Consider the following 21,219-nt stretch of genomic DNA (forward strand, 5'->3'; position numbering starts at 1 on the left):
CAGGACCAGGCCATCAGCAACCCTCTTGCACTCTATAGTCCCACGTTACTCAGAGCTTCCCCGTGCCCCAGAAATATGAAGGACTAGATTGAATGGGCACCAGGGGGGCAGGCTGGCAGTGCCACCCAGGAAAGCGGGGAAGAGGCTATGTGGGCTACCTGGCCCACTCAGGGAGGAGGGCAGGACTGGGTATTGTCTTGACAGCAGCCCTGTCCCACAACACTGAACTGGGCAGGGAAGGGGTCAGGCGTCCCCCTGACATGGGGCTGGATTCCAGAGCATTGGACCTGGCCACCAGAATTGGCCGTCTCCATCCAAGGCACTGGGGCCATGGGTGCCAGAGCCACATGTGGCTGAGCTGGCAGAGCCTGCCCCCCAGGGAGCGCTGAGTCCCGGAGGTGGTCATTTCTGGGGAGGGGTCTGTGGGGCTCATCCCACCTGCCCCCTTCTTTCCAGCACTTGCATGGCGCTTCCCTCTATTTTCACTCTTGGCGGCCGCCCCACACGTTGCATTCCTCCTCCTTTCTTCTTCTCGCTGTCCTCCATCCTCCATTCCATCCAACTCCTCTCCCAGCCCCCGGGGAGCCTCCCTCAGGTCAGAGAGTCTGAACCCCGAGATGTTCTGGGTGTGTGGATTTCCTTCAGCTACCCTGATGTCCCCATTTCCAAGTCCTGACTCCTTTGAGCCATCCCAGGGGGTGTCTGGCCACTGGCCCACAGGAGCAGAGGCCAGGCTGCGACTGTGAGCATCAAGGTGTGTGATGTGTGTGTGGGCTTGCACACGAGTGTGAGTGGGAGAATGGCACCAGGCCTGGGCTAGGACAGAAGCAGCTGGGGAAGGAGCCTGGGGGGCATGGGCAATCTGATTTTTCCTCCACCCCTGCCCCTGCCCCCGCCCCACCCTACCCTGTCTAAACCAATGTGGTAGGGGTGGCTGCAGGGGCAGGGACGGGAGTGTCTGAAGCCTGTTTCACTCCCAAAGATTTCTAAGGAAAAGCGTTCTGCATCCTCTGGCTTGGCCTTGTTGGCCCATGGCCCTCTTTCAAGGACATTCACTCTGATTCCCAGTGTGCCATATCCACTGGCCACGTTCTCTAAGAAAGAACAATAGCATCTGTTTTTGTCTCCAAATGACTGTAGGGTAGGGCTGTGGGTTCAGCGCCCATAAACCAAAATGAGGCAGGGATTGGGGCTTGCCCTATGATGCGCTGATGAGCAACAGAAATGGGTAGAGGCAAGCAGCATAGCACTGGGCAAGAGCACTGGACTGGGAGTCCAGAGATGCTGCTTCACCCTGGGGCTTTAGGCAAGTCCCTTTCCCTCCCAGAGCCTCAGCATCCTTTCTATCAAATGATGACTTTCTGCCTTTCTCCCAGGGTGGCCATGGGGATCAAGGGAGACAGTGGCCATAGGGATGCTGTGTTAACTGCAGATGTGGCCGTAGGAGCACTTTGCTAACTGCCAATGTGAGTTCAGACTCTTCAGAGTATTTGACACCCAGGTTTATGGTGAGGTGTGACATATGGGATGTAAGGTTTAATGCCTGCTCCGACTCCAGTCTTGCTAACACATGCGAAACATTTGGCAAATCATGACCCTCCCTTGGGGAAAAGAGCAGTCTGGGAGAGCTTCTCCAAGGCAGCCTGGCTTCAACGCAGTCCGGGGCATGACTGAGATAGAATTATGTGGCGAGGAATTGGAGGGTATCTGGGTACAGAGCTGCAGTGTGGGCAGAGGTGTAGTGTGGGCCGCATCCAGGACAGCCACTGGCCAAAGCAGGGAACAGAGACGGAATGAGGAAGAGCTCTGTGGGGAGGGTGGGGCATAGGGTGGAGAACCTTCAAAGTCCGAAGAGTATGACTTGTTGGGGCTCAATGCTGTAGGTAGTAGGGAGCCATGGAAGGCTCTTAGGTGGAGAAATGACAGCTGGACATTAGCGAGCAAGCCCTGTCTCCATGAGCAACACCGGTGGTCCTCTGAGCACGCCAGGCACGAGTGTGCAGGGAGCTGCTGCAAATGCCTCGGTGTGCGGGTGAGCTTCCGCGTTGTGACTCTGCCCATGTGTGTGCTTCAGTGTGCTGAGTGGCTGCACGCCCCAGATCTGTGCTGCACGTGCCAGCCAGTGAGGGTGCTGGGCACCGGGAGGTGGCGGGGAAGGAGGCGTATGTGTGTTGTGGACATGTGTGTTAGCGTGTGCATGCCGGCTGTGGGGCCTCACAGCATGTGTGTGCACACCCCGGCATGCGCATGTGTGTGTGTTCCACAACCCCAGGCCTGCCCCACCCATGCGTGTGACCTGCCATGTTGATCTGATGCTTTCAGAATCACTATCAGTGGCCCCTGAGGAGCATCAGCCATGGTAGGTACATGCCTCACCGCCTGCTGCATGAACGGTGTTCCCGCCCCGCTGCACCAGCTCCACACGGGGGCGCACCTGGGACCTCAGATCCAGGCTCCCTGCCCCTCCTTTCTGGAGCTGCAGATTTGCTCTTTCCTCTTTCTGTCCTGGTGCTGCTGGCTCTTTCACCTCCCTTCCCTGCAAGCCATGGGACTCAGCGCCACTGCCCAGGGCCTCCATGGCTGAGCCTGGGGGCTCTTGGAACAGGCTCCATGCCCAAGCTGGCAGACATGAGTGCTCTCTGGAGCTGTCAGAGAGGACAGAGAGCTTGTGGTTTATGGTGTAGGGGCTGGGAGCTTGGAGGGCGTTGTGTGTGGGGCTGGACTCTGAGGCGGCCAGAGGTCTAGGAATGCTGTGCCTGTCGTGCAGTCTGAGTCATGCTGCCAGGTCAGGGTATCCAGCTCCCAGCCTGGGAGTGCTGAGAGCCAAATCCACTGCAGAGCAGGGGTGATAGTCAGGGTCCCACCTCCTCTATCTGTTGGCAATCCAGTGGTGATCTAGGATAAAACCCTGAGAGTCCCATACACACGGTCATCCCACAACACACCTCACAGGCCAGACAGGGACACACAGCCCCCTTCCCTCCCTCTGAGGTACCATCATAGCTGCTAGCATGTGACCGAAGGCAGGGTCCCTGGCCCCCACTGAAGCACTATCGCCGACCAGCAGGCTCACGCACCTTGGCCTGTTGCTCCTAGGGGTCGCCTGTGCTATTCAGCCAAGGGGACCACAGTGCCTGCTGGCCCAGCTGAGCTCCGCCTAGTGAGCCCACCCGCCTCCCCTGCCACGGACTCTCCCTCTTCTGCTTTTCCCAGCAGGAAGGACCCAGCCTCAGCTATGAAACCTGCAGCCCCCCCACCCCGCAACCAACTGAGGCTCCCCTCTTAAAGTCTATGGCCAGTGGCATCCGGCTACCTGCCCTCCCTGCCTTCCCCAGGGTCCCTTCAGAGGACCCTGGACATTCTCACCGCCCAGAGGGGCCTCTGGCACTCACTCCAGCCATCCAGCCCTTATAGCTTCACCATTTTGGTTTAAGCAGTGTTCCTTCTCTATCAGGCCTGGTGGCTGTTGGGTGGGGCTCCCCAGGCAAGAGGTGGCCCTGGGCCAGTGGGTTGGAAGAGAGGGTGAGCAGAGAAGAGAGAAGCCCAAGGCGGCTGAGCATTAGTCTGAACTCTGGGTGCACTGCCTGGGTGCCATGGGAGAGGCCAGCATGTGTGGGCTGGGGAGGGCTGCCACAGCCCCCAGGCACTACCTGTGAAGCTCCGGCTCCTCCCTCCATCTTCCTCCCCTTTCCCTTCCAGCCCCTGTTTTCCAGGAACCATTGCTACACCCGCACCTGCACCCTCCCCACCCTGGCCCTCCCACAGCTGCTGCAGCGTGCCCGCCCGTACTCTGTGCTTGCCTCACCCGCTCTCTGCTTGCTTTTCTCTCTCCTATTTTCTCTCTGCTTCTCTCCAACTGCCAGCTGATTGGGTCAGGCAAGTCCATCCCGTCCCGAGAGCCCCAGCCCCACTTCGACCTCTAAACAGATCCTCCTCTTCTCAGAGACCTCCCTTTCCAAGCCTGCCTGGGCGGGTGTCCTGTGACTTGACAGTGGCTCCCCCAGCCCCAAAGCCAGCCCCCTTCATCTGTGACTTAGTCTGTCATAGTGGTGAGCTGACACATCCAGGTGTGACCGTTGCTGAAAACTTGGGCCCTTTCTGTGGTATGCCCCTGCCCTGTTCTATAAATATCTATAAATACTCATACATATATATACACCTACACATGGCTGACCGCCTTGCCTCTAGCACTGGGAATCAGTCACCATACTGTCCTTGTGGAATCTTGTGGCCCAGCAAGAGGAAGCTCTCCCCTGACATTGCCCCTCCAAAGTGTGCCACCTCCAGTGAGCCTCCCTGTCATGCCTGGCCTGTGGACAGCCAGCCCCCGCCATCCCTCCCACCCCCCACCAAGCATGGGGGTGCTGTGCAGGCAGCTTTGTGGCCTGACAGTCTCTACCAGTCCTGGTGTCCCTTGGCTGAGAATCAAACCCATTTCTGGATGATGGGGAATGTGTCCTCTGCTGGCTGTGTTCTCTGTGGAGCTCAGGGGAGGGAAAAGGCCAAGCCATTTCTAGGGTGCTGTTGGGAGTGGTGAAAAGGCCACACCTTTTCCAAGGGACACTTCCTGGAAAGCCCCTGGAGCTTAGCTGGCTCTTATCCTGTGAAGCTGGCTCTGGCCACTAGGGGGCAGGGCCATGAACTCAGCCTGGAGGAGCCTGCGGGGCAGCTGACACTCTAGAGGGACAGACAGAACAGGCCACCCGGTGCAGACAGGAGAGGGAGGCAAGGGGACGGAACGGAAGATGCCGGGGGTGGATGGAAGTCAGTGCCCTTTGGTGCCGGTATCTGTCTTCCCGGCCACCGCTAGATCAGGCTTCTGAGCCTGTTGGCTGTCAGGGTCGGACTGTGCCCCATAGGCGCCATGGCAGTCCCCATGCAATCCACCAGGTGTCACCAGGCAGCATACAAGTAACAGGCCTGGAAGGTCCCCAACAGCCCAGCTGGACATGCTCACTCTGGGGCTCTTCATTCAGTGGCACAAACTCCAGGACCCAGTGAGGGAAATGGGAACCCACCACGCTGAGCAGTATGGCTAAATCCATTTATTCCAAAATGGAAAGCAAAATAAACAGGAGTCGCATCACCAAGGCAGCCAGGACCCCATCCCCTCCTCCTTCCTCTGTCCTATGCTATCAATAAATAAGTTTCCCAGCCACAAATAATGATTAGAACCTCCTCCTCATATGCCAGCTCCAACCTCCGCTAGGTACTATACAGGGGGTGGCCCTACCACCCGGAATATACAAAATGTTACACAGATACTATATGTACACTGCGGAAGGGGGGCCACCACAGCAGCCCATGCCCTCGCCTGCTCTACGGTTAGCTCCACTGTCCCACCTCAGCTGCCTCTCTGAATAAGATGGGAGCCCCCTGAGGGAAAAGTTGCTTTGGTGAGAGTAGGGAGGCCATCAGGCCTCCTCCAAACAAACCAGCTCTACCAGCCTCTGGCTCTTAAATAATAATCATCATCATCCAGAAACTTAAGGACTCAGCCCTGGTCAAGGTGGCAAAGGGTCTGTTTTTCTCCCCCCATTAGACAGGGGTCTTGTCTTGCTACCCTAATGGTAAAGGGGTGACTGGGAAGGGTTGGTAAGAACATGGTAGGGATGGAGACTCCAGCCCCACTTCTCTGGGCTTATGCTGACAGAGACCTGCTTTTATTTTTATCCCTTGAGTTTTTTAAAAAAATCCAGTAACTTTATTCATAACTTTTTCAAAAACTTTTCATAAAACATTTTTCTACTTTTTTTCCACAACTTTTGCCGCAACTTTTCCACAGCATTTTTTATCCCATAACTTTTTCATCCCACAACTTTTTTTAATACCTGTAACTTTTTTGTTTGTGTTCTTTTAATAAACACACTTGCATAGTTACATTACAATTTTGTAAAAATAAAAACCGATTATCTCATGCCAAGCGTGCCCAGCATTTGCGCAGTCTCAATACCTTTAATACTATAGTTTTCAAGACACACAAAATTTTAAGGCAAAAACAGCACTTTGCAACAATTTAATAATTTATTACATTACAGTAGCATCACAGTAGCAGTGAATAATGCCACTTTAGGCAACAGTGTTTCCGTATTTCCATTATACATTCTGTTTACAGGAATTCATCAGTTGGTAAAAGTCATTCTAAGAAAACTTGGCAAATAAAGCCTTGCATTGGAATTGGCATTTCTCTACTTTTCCTTCCCCCAGTTTCTTTCTTTTAAACTACAGTATTCATATTTTAAAATGTTTTAACTTATTTTAAAACTTAAGATAGCAGTTACGTTTTTGAATAGTTATATTCTTTTAAAATGACTGTTTAAGATAAAGTTTTAGAGAAACTATACTATGGATAGCACTGATTTACATTTTCACATTTTCTAAATATCAGCTTTGGTTTTAGAACTGACTTTTTTTCATTTCTGGAAAGCCTATCAGGTTTAATCAAATACTTTAAAAATGATTATATATTGCAATCTTTAAATAGGTTTTTAATTCTTCCTACAGAAATTCAAATTTATTCAGTTGAACCCACACTTTAAAATTCTATGTTTCTGATTAAACTCTACCCTTCTAATGTTGCCTTCTAAGCAAATTGAAAGCTGCCTTATACTGAATGAGGAAGAGAACAAATACTTGGCTGAATGAGGTATTGCAAAGGACCGCATGCACTTTGAAGAAAGACTTAAGTTATTGTCATATGATTTGCATTCTATTTAATTTTTCTTAAGTATATGACAAAATACCTACACAAAGAGTGGTATTTCAGTTAATATAGTACATTCATTTTCCAGACTGACATTCAGCTTAAATATGCCAGTGTGTGATTTAATCCACAGGTACCTGATGAACACATTATTGTCAGATTGGTTACAGGTGCTAAAGGCTATCTGAAGGTCATTCCTAGTCGTTTATCTTTATCAGGGTAAAAGTGAAGATATAAAAATACCTTCAAAATAATTTATCAATGTATTAGGTAAGCCCACCTTCAGAATTATAAAGAAAAACTGTTAGACCAAATAAGGTGGCTAATTAACAGTGATATGATTTCTAGCCTGAGGGTCTAAATTGGACTTAAACTGTCTTTAAACTGAACTCAAAGAATGCAAAAGCAGCAAGTTCAGAAAATAAAAGGCAAGAACAGGTCTTTAAGTCCATTTTAAACCCTCAGGCTAGAAATCGTCCTACTGTTAATTAGCCACATTCGTTGGTCTAACAGTTTTTCTTTATAATTCTGAAACTGAGTTCATCTAATGCATTGATAAATTCATTCAATTTGGAAGAGTCAGTTGAAGTCACAAGGACTTAATATTTGCACTATTTCAGTGAATGCAGGCACATCTGTTATTCCATCTGTAAAATCGTATTATTGCTCTCCTATTAATGTCATATGTATAAAAGTATCGTGAGGATGTCAAGTGGTAAAAATGGAGATGGTCTAGTAACTAGAAATGCCCACCCCAGGGAGCGCACACGCATCTCTCCCTGCATCCTAATAATGTGACGTATTTTGGAACACAGACATTAGAACTTCATGAAATTTTAGCTGTTGATTCTTTCCCAAGCATCTTAAAGTTATGACTTAGGCAATGTATGACTGAAATAACTCATTCATCATGTATAGGCACATTAACATAAATATGGCACAAAATATGCCTCTAACTGAAACCGAGAGGTATAAAAACATCTTTCACTCTTTGTGAAGAACTTTGTGAGGAAGCATAACTCTGTGATTGTATAGACACTTTTCCTCATAATACTTGGACACTCACAAACAGTAGATTGCACGGCAGCTTGTAAACATTTTAAGTTGCATAAACTTCACCTTGATTTTCATATGTAGTATAATACTGTCTACTAAAACTCCTTTTTGTTTCAACTAAGTACTCTCTCATATATTGGTTTATAATAATGGTTGTTATTATTTTTAAAGTGTTTTCCATTCAAAGAAAAGAAGTAAATTCCTATGTCAGAGTAACTAATGTGGTTGAAGAATAGGTATTAGCCAGAGAGGTCTAGATGATAAAATCAATCTTCTAGCCTCAAAGAAGCTCCATGAACATAGAGGAAGGCCAGGTGTCACACAGCTTTCCTTCACTCGAATTCATTCTTGACTAGCGCCCGTATGCCTCTTCCAGGGACATTTAAACTCTTAAAGGATTTCTTATGATCTTCACTAAATACCTTAAGAAGAATGCCAACCGGTGCCCTTTTGTGTACTGGGACATATACTCATGTGATTAAAACAGGTAACATGAACTCTGACTTTAAAATGTATTGTAGATATAAATGCTCTACGCTAGAAAAGGTTTTCCACATCCACAGTCAATGATGGGAGCCTTTCATTCCTCAGAAATAATCCCTTTTTAGGTCATCGAGAAAGGGTACAACTGCTGCAGCTCATGATGCAATATCTTCATAAGCCCAGAGCACACACAAATCCTAAGGGAACTACCATAGTACAGTGCTCATTCTTGGCACCAGAACAAATGAAACACACTGTATCCTGCACACACCTGCCAGAGCAGGCCACTTTCCTCTTCTGTGAGATTTAAAAAGCTCCCCAAAATGTTATGACTCCCATCCCCAATACACAGAAAATAGGGGAAAGGCTGTTTCCAGTTCTCGGCCTTTAAACAACTCTAAATGTCAGTACTCACAGTGGCATATTACAAAGTAATAAACAGTGCGCACTTGAGGGCAAACCACATATTGAGCTAATGAAGAGCTCACTGTGGTTAGGATTCAATCAAACGTAATAGCAGAACATAAGCACATTTTATCTGAATTCTGTAATGAATATATGTGCTGCAATAACATTTAAAAAGCATGGCAGCCTGTTCCAAACCAGCAAGAATAGTTTTGTGCAAATAGTGGGTCTTTGTGTGTATGAATTCCCACCACCTAAGGGCAAACTCGATATGCGTGCTAATGACCTACAATTATCAAGTAAAAAATAAAAATGCTAAAGGATGCCAGAAAGAACATCAGGGAAAGACCAACTCTCCCTTAACTTTTTACAAATAAATTTAAACGGTAAATTAGAAACACAAATAAATGTGAGTGGCTCTAGCATTCAAATGGAGTAAATGAATTGTGTAGGAGATGAACCCTGTAACTTTTTGTTGTTGTTGTTGTTTTAAATTTCTTGACCAGCTCTTAGAAGATGATGATGTTTATCTCCCTGTTCTCGGCTGCCTGGTAAAAGAATGGCACGCAGGGTTTGCTGGGCAAGCCTGGGTGCTCCTAGGTGTCCTGCATTACAGGAGACAGCTGCACGATCTGCTGTGCAGTGGGGTTGTCATGGGGAGAACCCTCCCTGGCCGCTCCTGGTGCAGGCTCCACATTGTTGTCCAGGCTCACTTCATAAAAATCTTTGGAGAGAGGGAGGCGGGGGTCTGAGCACAGTGCGAGCCTCCCCTGCTCCTGCCTGCCCACCCCGCCTGAGAGCTCTACTCACCATCCTGCTCACCGGCAGCCCCCAGTTCCTGGGGGGCTGGGGGCCCTGGAGTGGGCTCATCAGCAGGGTTCTGGGCAGCGGTGAGGAATTTGCCATGCCCCTCATGGTTGCCCACAAGGGGCAACACCAGCTCTTGCAGCTCCAGCAGATTCACCTGAAGGGAGGGTGATCAGCTCCCACCCTGGAGCCTGCGCCAGCGCCCATGCCCACCCCCACCCCCACAGAGATGTTGCATGCCCTACCTTCATCTCCTCCTCCTTCTGGGCCAGCCTGATGACATCTTCCATCTCCTGGTGCCACGTGTTTGGCACTGCCCCCTGGCTTTCATATACGGTGAAGGACTCTCCTGCAAGAGGACACGGCTCAGACACTAGGGTCCCTCCGATGGCCCTGCAGCTCCCCGTGCCCATGCCCTGGCCTCCTGCTCACTCATGCCATCTGTCACTCCAGAAGGCTGGACGAATCCAAGCTCTCGTCTCTCCACCTGCTCCGTCCCATCTGCCTTCTCCTTCGGGAGGTCCGTAAAGCTGCTCTGGAGCCAAAATAATGGGGTCACATCTCGGGAGTGACCTGTTCTGCCCCGCCCCCACTTTTCTTGGCCCATGCCAGGACTCACTCACTTTCAGCTTCACCATGGCCTCCTTCAGGGCCCGGTAGCTCTCCCCACACACAAACTCATCTCCAGTCCTCCCTGGGGCTGGGGCCTCTGCCTCTGGCTTCTTCCAGGCCAAGGCCACCAGATGAGCCAGGTGCAGGCAGCACAGCCTTCGCACCTTCCGCTGCCCACATAGCCGGGCCTGCTCCTCCTGGGAACTGGCTCCAGCGGAGTTGAAAAATGCCACTTGAAGGCAAGAGGTGAGTATTCTTTTAGGGGCATAGACAGAGCAAATGAGGCAGGAAGTTGGAGCACAGTCCCTTCCCTTGGGGCCTCAGAGAGTGCACCTGTTGGTCACAGGTGACAAGGTGTCTGACCACTGCCTCCCAGAAGAGGTGAGGGGCCACAGAAATCAGAAGGCGGGAAAACCAAGAGCATAACGGGCTCTGGGAGGGACCACAGAGGAAGGTGGCAAAGTGGGGCAGGGAAAGTCAGGCTCACCGTGGCCTCCCGGCTCTCCAGGTCCTCTGGGATGTTTGGCGTGGGCCGAGGCGCCTCCTCCTCCTCACTGTCCAGATGTTCTCCTCCATCTCCTGTGGGGAGGTGGCCAGAGGGGTCCTCAGACAACCCAACAAGGAAGGTACGGTGGGCCCACCTCTGTCCTCACCCTCAATGTGTAACCCTGAGCCAGCCTCTCCCCAGAGGGGAATGAGCTGCTGTTCTTTATTTTTCCTTTTAAGAACAAGATCTTGCTATATTGCCCAGGCACAGTCCCACTACCAGTCGGTGCGGGAGTTCTGACCTGCTCCCTTTCTGATCTGGTCCAGTTCATTCATCCTTAGGCAACCTGGTGGACCCCTGCTCCCAGGAGGTCACCATATTGATGCTGAACTTAGTGCGGACACCCGGTTGGCATAACGACCAGCTGTTCTAAAGGTCTCTTCCAACCCCTCAATCCTATGCTGCTAACAGTCCCCCCTTCCTCCTGGGGCTCTCTCCTCTTCCTCTGAGTGGTCTCCTGTACCTTCTCCAGGGAGAGCCACGAGGCTCAACCGGGTCTCTAGCTGTTGGTTCCGCTGGCTGGCAGCTTCTAGGTGCTCCCAAGGGGATGGGAAACAGAGTGAGAAGGCACGGAGGTTGCCAGGTCATCCCCCTCGGGGCCCCATCCTCAGCAACTCCCTCCCCTGGGTCTCCTGCAACTTTTGGCGGGCCATCTCAGCCACCGCTTTGCCCCAAGCTTCCTGCTGCTGCAGCTGGTCCACGAGCTGGGTCTGCAGCAGTAACTGCCTGTGCAGCGCCTCCTTCTCAGAGGTCAGCTGCTGATAGGTGGCCACGTACTGCTGCAGGTGACCCAGGTACTAGTCTCGCTGCTGCTGCAGACTCTGAGACCCTTGGCTCTTCAGCTCCACCTGCAGGAAAACCCTGGGCATGAGGGCACATGGTGGCTGGCTTCCAGGTTCTGGGCCCATTAATAGGGTAGCTAGGGCACTGTGGGGCTCTGTCACCTGCCCAGGACCCTGGTCCCTTGCTTCAGGCCTAAGAGGCTTCCTCCCTTGCCTAGAACCCCATACCTCCTTCCCCAGCCTCAAATCTCATGTCCTTCTTCCCACCATTTAAACTGTAGGCCACAGACTGGTGGAAAAGCAGAGGGAGCCAACCACCATCTGCTAAGTGTGCTACATGCCTAATGCTTTCCAGGTATTCTATCATTCAATCCTCAGCACCTCTGCAAGGAAAATGCTAACTTCCTTTTGAAGTCACAGAAACAGAGACTTAGAGATGAACAGTAGTTGAACGGTGACCAGTGGAACCCAGGCCAGAATCCAGTTTGAATCTAAGGAGGCTTTTTTGTTTTGTTTTGAGACAGTGTCACTCTGTGGCCCAGGATGGAGTGCAGTGGTGCAATCTCAGCTCACTGCAACCTCCACCACATGGGCTCAAGCGATTCTCGTGCCTCAGCCTCCTGAGTAGCTGGGATTACAGGCATGCGCCACCATGCCTGGCTAATTTTTTGTTTTTGTTGTAATTTTAGTAGAGGTGAGGTTTCGCCACGTTGGCCAGGCTGGTCTCAAACTCCTGACATCAAGTGATTCTCCTGCCTCAGCCTCCCAAAGTGCTGGGATTACAGGTGTGAGCCACCGTGCCCGGATAAGGAGACTCTTGTACCACTGTCTCTTCCCCTGTGACTGGGGGCTCCATGCCTCTAGCTGGGATGATGATGTCCCGATCTGGGAGGAGCCCAGGGCTACCCACCTCTAAAAGTCAGAGGGCAGGAAGCAAGAAACAGTCATAGGGCTGCCCTGGAGGATGCTGGGGTCACCTGCCTCCCAGCTGGAGCTGCCTTTGGCCTGGCACCTCCCCTCCCCAGAGGCTGGTGCCCGCCTCCCAGCCCTTCTTGGATGGGGTGGAGGTTACCATCTCCTTCACCTCGTCTAGCTTCTCCTGCAGCTCCTTTACTTGCTGCTCCAACTGCAGTGCGCTCTTTTTCTCATTGTTCTGGACAGAGAGAAGCAATCAGTGGCCATCCACTGCAGCTGGAGACACCAGACCTTGGTGTCTGCCTCCCATATCACCAGGAAGCGTGGAGGCAGGTTAGAAAAATCATCCCTTCTCCCCCACAGCCATCAGAGCAGAGCCTGATGAGCTGTAGCTCACAGGTGCCTTTAGAAGTAGCATTTCATGTGAGGGCTACACTGGCCCATTTTACAGGTGGGGAAACAAAGGCCTGGAGGGATAGGGATGAGTGCAGGCTCCCCAGGTGGGGCAACCCACCAGATCCTCGAAGCTGCACTGTGGCTCGGCCAGCTGCTTGTCGAGCTTGTGGTTCTGGAAGAGCACGAGCCTCTCCTCCTGCTTTTGTAGCCTGTCCTCCTTCTTCCACAGCCTCTCCTCCTGGTCCCACAGCCTCTTTTCCTGCTTTTGCAGCCTCTCCTCCTCCTTTTGCAGCCTCTCCTCCTGCTTGCGTAGCCTCTGCTCCTGCTTTTGCAGCCTCTCACCCTGCTCCTGTAGCATCTTCTGCTGCTCCCGAAGCCTCTCGTTTTGTTCACACAGTCTCTCCAGCTCCCGCACCCTCTGCGCCTCCTGCTCTCGGAGCATCTCCTCCTGCTCTCGGATCATCTCCTCCTGCTCCTGGAGTCTCTCCTCCTGCTCCTGGAGTCTCTGCTTTTGTTCCTTGCTCAGGACACTCAAGGCCTGATTGTTTTCCACCTGGGATTGGAGCTTTCCCTCCAGACCTTCCACCTCCTGCCTCAGGTGTTTGGCCTCATCTTGTAGCTGTTCCACCACAGAGGTCACTGCTGGGGGCGCCAGGGATAGGGGCTCAGCTGAGAAACAAAGCAGACAATAAGGGCCTCTGGATTCCCCAACCCCTCTACCCACCCCCACCTCAAAAAAAAAAAAAAAAAAAAAAACCTCCTCTTGATGCACAGCTCCTCTCAGGCTTCCCAAACTTGGCCTCACTGCTAATCATTCCTCGCACCCGATGGTAGCCAGTTTCCAAGCCACTTTCACATAGAGAGCACTGTGGGTGGCTGACAACGGGTGCTCCTCCCTCTTTGCTGATGGGGACCCTGAGGCTCATGGAGATGACAAAACTTGCCGTCTCCTGGCACAGACCTCTTTCCCTCTGCCTCAAAGCCCTTCCACCCACCCACCTCCCTGGGGCATTCTAAGCCACCCCCACAGACCTCTGATGCCAGTCCTGCTCCCAGGTCACACCAGCCCCATCTTACCCATCTGGTTTTTGAGTTCGGACAAGCTCCTCTTCAGCTCCTGTATCCGATGTATGTCACGCTTCTTCTCTTCCTTTAATGTTCGAGCCTGCCCAAAGCACAGGGGAAAGGGCCCTGGAGAGAGGGGCTGGTGGCTGGATAGGCTACCATCTCACTCTGTGCCCCCATCTCCACAAAGCCCAGACCCATGACCACCTCTGGCTGTACTATTCCCATTTTACAGATGCCCAGAAAGATCCAGTGACCTATCTAAAGTGGGGGCTGAAGGGTCAGACCTCACCTCCACCGACATTTTCCACATCCTCTCCTGCCACCGGGCCCTCTCTCCTTTTATGTGTTTAGCATATTCGTCCTGCTCTAGCTGGACTTGTTTTAGTGACTCTGTCACCTGCAAGAAATGGGCAGAGAAGTTAGGAAGGGCTGTCACTGGTCCTCACCTGCTCCTGGCCACCTGGGGTCATCTTCCTTCCACATCCCTCCCTCTGCAAAGCCTCACCTGTGTCACGTGTGCGTTCAGCAGTGCCTGCTCCTTTATGGTCTGCTGTAACCGCCACTGGAGGACCGCTTCTCTGCAGCTCGAGGACTGGATGGTGAAGAGTGAGAAGTTTTGATCTGGGGAGCTCAGGCAGTGCCCCTTAAAAGGGCTAGGGCTAGGCTCAATATACAACTCGGTTAGTAAAGGTCAAGGCATTTCCAAGCCCGTGGCCTGGTTATTAAAAGAACTCAGTAAATTTGGAAGGGAGAGGGAAAGAGATCGAATTTACAGCTGGCTAACAGAGGCCCAGAGAGATCAGATAATATTGCTATTGTTATTACTGTTATTACTACCACTGTTTGAACCGTTATGGAGTGCTTCACCAGGTTCCATGCTAGCAATCCCATTTAATCCTCACAACCACCATATGAGACAGTTACTAGGATTACCTCTATTGTGTAGATGAAAAACATCGAGTGTTCGAGGTTAAGTGCTTGCCTAAGATCACTTAGACAGAGCTGGGATTTGAACACCCAGGTCTATCCTATTCTCTAAGCCCATTTTTCTTGCTGGGGGTGGGGACACAGATAGGAAGGGGGAAATTAATCTTTTGTTCACTTTTTGAAAGGATGATACATTCATATAGTCCAAAACTCAGAAGGTACAGAAGGGAGGTGTCTCCCAGGCACCCTGTTACTCTCTCCTGAGTTTTTTATGAATGCTTGCAGACATGTTTTTGTATATTATCATAGTACACACACACACACACACACACACACACCCCTTTCCTCTCTCTACAGAAATGGTAACATACTAAAGGTGCTCTTCTGTACCTTCACAGAACAACTATCCAATACCCCACCTAGGACTTGCCCAAGGCCACAGCCAGGAAAGGGCAGGGCAGGCACTTGGCCTCTGAGCTCTGCATCCAGTGCTCACTCCCCATAGTGCCCCCCAACTCACCCACAGCAGCTGACTCAGCCCCAGGCTGCCTCTAACAACCATACACAAAAGTAGTGAGAAATGACCATGCTGCCTTCTGGGTAGGACACTCCATCCTGCAGAAGGGACCTTTAGGCTCACTCCTCCATCTGGGAAGCCAGGCTGCCAGGGGATGGGGCAGCTGGTTGGACTCACCCTGTCCTCTTCCTGCTGCTGTGTAGACACAGCACAGAGAGCCCGCTCCAATTCTTGAATACGCTGCAAGGCGTATTGCAGGCGGCCAGCCAGATCCTTGGACTCTTCTGTAATGAGAGAGGTTGAGATGGGGCCCAAAAGACTCCCCCTAAAGACCTGTCAAAGTGCCAGGTTGAAGGATGATGGGGTGCCCAGATTCCCACCTTCGAAGTGTCGGGCAGCACGTTTAGTATGGTAAAGGGTGGTCTTCAAGTCTGCCTTTTCCAATGTGAGGATGTTGATTGTCTGGAATTGAACTTTTGGGAGAAAAGCCAAGCAAGTGCTGAAAGGGAAGGAAAGAAACATTCTCCAGAGGACAGGAGAAAGCTCCCCACCCTCCACTCACCTCTAACTGCTCTGTTTGTGCTTTGTGTATTTCATTGTTTGCTTTCTTTGCCTATAGGAAGAGGAAGACAGAGCTCTTGCCACAGGGAGGCCGAGATGGCACAGCAGGAGGCACGCCCCCAGAATGCCACCAATGTCCCAGGACAGGCCCACCCATGGAACCAGGTTATCAGGGACCCCGTGGGGATGGGGTGGAATCTGAGGGGTGAGCCTTCTTCCCCAGGCTGGGAGTGGGCAAGATGAGACTGGCACCTCTGCATCTGAGTGCCCCCCAAACCCAGCAGTCATGTTGTAAGCAAAGAAAATCACGTTATTTCTTCCAGCTGATGTTCCACTTGTTTCTTCTGCTGTTTCTGTGGGGAGAGTCAAATTCAGGTGACTGAGAGTGGCCCCCTCAACTCTATTCCCCAGACCTGGAAGTGGTAGGCAGGGACCAGGAATGGATTTTAAAGGCAACATTCTCAGACCCAATGGCGACACGAACTGGTCAACCCTCTTCAAGCACCCAAGGACAGAGGATTTGGGTCTTTGTTGGTTTTTGCCCAAAGCCGCAGAACTCAAAGTTTGAATCTGGATTCTCTCAAAAGGACAGTAACATAAACCTCTAGAGAGGGAGTCTCAGGAAGGCCCACCCTTCTGCCAGCTTGTGATTTAGAAAGGTGCCTTCATTCAACAAACATTTACTGAACACATACGGGCCAGCTACGGTTCTTCACAGCAGATATAGGATGGAAAAGGACAGACAGGAGCCCTTGGCCCTCAGGTTTCCATTCTAGGGGCCTTTAAATCTCAGACTCTCAGAGCTAACAGAGAACTTTGATGCTCTACCTCCTCCGGAAACACGAGCCCAAGGAGGACAGGTGGCTTGTCCATACTCAAGGCAAATTAGGGACTGAGTCAGGGCAGAAATACAGGGCCCCTGACAACCAGTCAGGCTAGCGCTTCCCTGAGAGGTGACAACCCCAGGGTGTGTGTGGCAAGGACTGGAGCAGGGGTGTCTGGAGAAGAGAGAGTTGGCAAAGAGGGCAGTGACAGAAGAGCCATGCTGCGTGCTCCTTGCTCTGGGGTCCCTCCAGGTGAGGCCTGGGTGCTCCAGCTCCCCATTTGCCCTTGGCACCAGGGGCCCCCAGCCCCTTTCTTCAGGGCCCCAAGGGGAAACTAAAGCCCAGGATTGGCAGCATGGAATCAGGGGACCCCACTGGACTCTTACCAATGATTCTATGTTTTCATTGAGTTGATTGATTGTCACGGAGCTTGACTCCAGGGCTACTGCTAGTTCTTGGTACTGGCTCTGAGGCACATGCAGAGAGGAGGAGTTGGAAGAGGATTGTGGGGAGAGGTAGAGAGAACAATCATTAGGGCTGGGGTGTGTGTGGGCTGTCTCAGCTGGCAGAGGGTCACCCAGCCCCCACTGTGAGAGGAGGTTGGAGGGCTGGCCTGCAGAGTCACTGCACCTCGGCCCAGGGCCTCTTACTTCCAGATCCTTCAGGGTAACAGATGATGCAGGAGTAATAAAAATGAGAAATTTAAAAAAAAAAACTTACATGGGAAATAGTTATGTATATAGAGAAAGTATAAAAACAGCAAGGAGCCGGGCACAGTGGCTGACACAGGTAATCCCAACAGTTTGGGAGGCTGAGGGGAGTGAATTACTTGAGGTCAGGAGTTCAAGACCAGCCTGGCCAACATGGTGAAACTGCATCTCTACTAAAAATACAAAGATTAGCCAGGTGTGGTAGCAGGTGCCTGTAATCCCAGCTACTCAGGAGGCTAAGCCAAGAGAATCGCTTGAACCCAGGAGGCAGAGGTTGTAGTGAGCCGAGATCACACCACTCCACTCCAGTCTGGGTGACAGAGTGAGACTCTGTCTCAAAAAAAAATAAAAAATAAAAAATAAAAAGGCCCAAACCCCACATGCCTGCTCTGTACGTTATTCCCAAATTACTTTTAAACTTTTAGGTCTCACCATTTCCAAGATGATAAAAGATGCGGGGAAGGAAAAAACCCAATCAATCAAGCAGGTGAAGAAGCAGACAGAAACAGGCTGAAGGTTAATGGCAGCAACATAAAACAAGGCAGAGGCCAAGTATTCCCCAAACCAGAGAAGCCTCAGGGCCATGCATAGCTGGAGACAGCAAGCCAGAGAGGGGTCTTGGCACTGCCTCACCTTCCACTTGTCCAATGGGGGAGCACTACCCCATTGGAGTATTAAGGTTGGACACCAGCACCTTCAGAATGTCCTGAATCTACAGGAGGTGACAAGGGAAAAACAAGGGCAGGAGGTGAAAGACAGAAGTGGCTTAGAGAGAAGCAAGAAAGTCAGGGTAGGAGGAAGATGTGGGTTCAGGAAAAGGAAACGCTGAAGAAGAGCAGAGGAGATTAAAACCATGGCCTGTGCCATTCTTCCAAATGGCCACCTGCTGCCTTGCCAGGGGCAGGAACAAATAGATGGAAAAGTCCCCTGAGTGACGCAGTCACAGAGTGGAGTCAGCTGACCAATGCAGATCTTAATATGCTCACTGGTCCCCTCTCCTCAGGCCCAGGACATGGGTGATGAATCTGTTAGAGCTCCAGACCTCCACCTCCATTAAAAAAAACAGACTTCTGAGTAAGAGCTCACTTGAACTAAGGGGATTCCAGCTAAAAAACAAGTTTGAAAGACACTGATCTTATCCAGTATCATCTTACAGAGGAGGAAACTGAGGCCCAGTGGAAGAAGTGATTTTTCTGTGGTCACCCAACAAGCTGGTGGCAAGTTAGATCTTCTCTTGCTCCTAGTGCCTGGGGCTCTCCTCACCACACCCTGGGCCCCCTTCAGTGACTCCTAAAGGGACAGCCTGATGGCAAGTGGCTGTACTCATTAGCCCAACTTCCCCTTGAGAGTGGGGATCAGGAAAATCAAACAACAATGATCATTTCCTGGGTATCCTGGGTGTTTACAGCAGGCCACGTACTAGGAGTTAACATGAAAACAACAACAATAAGGAATCTCATTTAAACTTCACAAATGGAAGTCAAACAATACTACCCCTATTTCACAGATGTGAAAAGAGAGGCCCAAAGAGCTCAAGCAACTTGCCATAAATCAGATCGCTAGCAGATGGAGAAGCAGGATTCAAACCCAGAATTCTTAACCAGTACCCAGCAATCTCAACAATTACCCTCTACTGCCCCTTGGGCCCCCTGTCCCCAGGAGCCTGGCCAGCCAAGACTCACATCCCCAGGTGAGTGGCAACCACCAGAAGTGGTTGTCTCAGGGCTACTGCCAGTTTTTTTCTTTTTTGTCTTTGCTCCTGCTGGAACACCAGGGCTCTTCCTTTGCTGATATTCTTTTAGCTGTGGGAAAGAAGAGCAGTAATACTCATGAGAACTACCAGCCCTTACAGCCACACCCTCCTTACAGTTTTTGCAAAATACTCTTATACACCATCTGGTTTAATGCCACCAACAACTGTACAAGGTGTTGTCACAATCACTTAGTGATTGAGAGGGATGGATATTATGGCTAAAAAAAAAGTTGGGGGGGCAATAATGGAACTTAAACTTGGTCTTCTGACTCCAAGCTCTGGGGTTTTGCCATGATCAGCAGCTGCTGGGGACCAAAACCAGACGCAGAGCAAGAAAAGTAAACATTACATAGGCAGGAACTACATGCTGTGTGGTTTAGAGTCATACATCCTCACATGTCTGTTAGTGTGAAGAAGTGCACCAGTATCTCTCAAACTTTTATATCAATGTGTCCTCATGGCAGAAGGCAGCTTTTTTGTTAAATCTGGGAATTTGTCAGAAAGAGGACAACCCAAGTCTCATTTCAGAGAGAAGTCTGGTATACTCTTAGAAACCTATGTGAGGGTCATCCCTAAGTACATTAATGTTTTTTCTCTCTCAAGAGAATCAAGGGAAACTGGTGCTTCAGAAAGATCTCCCACATTTATCCTGTGGCACTCAATGTACCCCAAGTTGAGATGATATGAGGAAGATTCAAGCTGTCAAATTCAGTTTCCCAAGATCTATTCCACAGAAGATGAGCAAATCTCACTTCAGAGACCACTGACTGAAGGGCAGTCTGGTCCCAGAACCGTGGAGAATTAGAATATGAGGTGGAGAACTCAGAAAAAAATGTTAAAATCTCTCTGGAGAGTAGAAGCCTGGGAGAAAACCAAACCAAACCCATTCTCCCATTACCACCCAGAGATACTGTCAACGTTTTGAGCTCACAGGGGAAGTGTAGGCTTTTCACACTGTCGATGTCTATGTGAAGGGAGTAAGGCAGCCTGAAACCTCTTGCCCCTAGGTCCCATAGTCCCCATTTCCCTTCTAGCTGGAAATTTGTGCTGTGACCAGAGGAACCAGAAATGGGGTGAGAATGCTTAGGGGACTGGGTTGTAAGATCAAAGGCCAGTCTTGCAGCAGTAATGACAGTTCCTAGGAGGACTGTGACATCACTACATTCCACTCCTCCTGGGGGTGGGGGGAACCTCATCAGTGCAATGGCTGAGTTGCCGATCCACGATGGGGGAGGGGGGATGTGGGGCTGGGACCCAGGTCCTTGGAGATGCCAGTCCAGAGAGCCCAGGGAGGTCGGGCTTGGGTCAGCAGGAGGGGAGAGCAGAGTCTGCTCAGGGAACCCCAGGAGTCACCAGCCCAAAGTCACCCCGGGATGACTGGCGATGCTGGGGTGTTGGGGCTGGGGGACCCAGGTCCTTGGAGAGGTGAGCCCAAAGAACCCAGGGAGGTTGGGCTTGGGGCAGCAGGACCTGAGGGCTGAATATGGAGCAGGGAGCCCCAGCAGTCATCCGCCCAAAGTCACCGCAGGGTGATTGGCGAGGGCAGAGGCCAGGCTGCTTGCTGAAGGGGCGGGGCTGACTGACAAGACTTTGGTGGGGGGAGTCCAGAGGCGCCGGGGTAGGGGGGCCCAGCCCGGTGTGCCTCAAGAGTGGTATGGACTCTGAGAGTGGTCTTGTCATCAGAGGGGATCTCTGGCTAGGTTGGGGGGCCATGACCTTTTTCTTGGCTTTTTACCTTTTTCTTGACTGCTGCCAATTTGTTCCATCGAGTTTCTTCTGGCATCATGGGGTCGGGAGGGAGGTAGGGTTGGGGCCACATCAGCGAACACCTCCAGTCACCTACAAGGCTGCTGTGTGACTGAGCCAGAGGAGGCGTAACCAGGGCCACACTAGAATGCAGAATAGGGGTGTGGCCTTAATGCTCCGATCCCATTGGTCAATGAGAAAGATGAAAAGGAAAGGAGGCGTGGCCAGGCAGCAGTGTGTCCAGAGGAACCTGTGACATCACAAGGAAAGCTGCCCATGCGACTGCTGTCCCCGCCCATTCGGGGAGAGGGGCGGGGCCTGCCTACTCCGGGAGAGGGGAGGACCGGCTTTTGCTTTAAAATGTTAAACTTTAAAAAATATATGTGTTTATACTTTATATATATGTG

At 51.1% G+C, this 21,219-nt stretch overlaps 1 long non-coding RNA gene and 3 pseudogenes across 2 annotated transcripts; 2 read left to right on the forward strand and 2 right to left on the reverse strand.

Annotated features, from left to right (window-relative positions):
* DNM1P9 (dynamin 1 pseudogene 9) lies at nucleotides 2,320–4,452 on the forward strand (annotated as a pseudogene).
* GOLGA6FP (golgin A6 family member F, pseudogene) lies at nucleotides 8,277–20,906 on the reverse strand (annotated as a pseudogene). The gene is made up of 18 exons (NR_027024.1): nucleotides 20,802–20,906; nucleotides 18,996–19,115; nucleotides 16,990–17,070; nucleotides 16,089–16,132; nucleotides 15,781–15,831; nucleotides 15,599–15,680; nucleotides 15,396–15,502; nucleotides 14,280–14,366; nucleotides 14,064–14,171; nucleotides 13,784–13,871; nucleotides 12,825–13,375; nucleotides 12,480–12,548; nucleotides 11,077–11,152; nucleotides 10,554–10,645; nucleotides 9,887–9,989; nucleotides 9,700–9,803; nucleotides 9,458–9,611; nucleotides 8,277–9,371 (listed from the first exon to the last, which is right to left on the reverse strand). The product of NR_027024.1 is annotated as a golgin A6 family member F, pseudogene (transcript).
* On the forward strand, nucleotides 10,554–15,926 carry LOC124903533 (uncharacterized). The gene is made up of 3 exons (XR_007064724.1): nucleotides 10,554–10,692; nucleotides 12,557–12,643; nucleotides 15,838–15,926. It is a non-coding gene; the product is annotated as an uncharacterized LOC124903533 (long non-coding RNA).
* Nucleotides 10,778–11,042, reverse strand: RN7SL214P (RNA, 7SL, cytoplasmic 214, pseudogene; annotated as a pseudogene).
* Nucleotides 20,907–21,219: the final 313 nt, after the last annotated feature.

Source organism: Homo sapiens, chromosome 15 (genome assembly GCF_000001405.40).
Source record: "Homo sapiens chromosome 15, GRCh38.p14 Primary Assembly".
In the NCBI taxonomy this organism is placed as follows: Eukaryota; Metazoa; Chordata; class Mammalia; order Primates; family Hominidae; genus Homo; species Homo sapiens.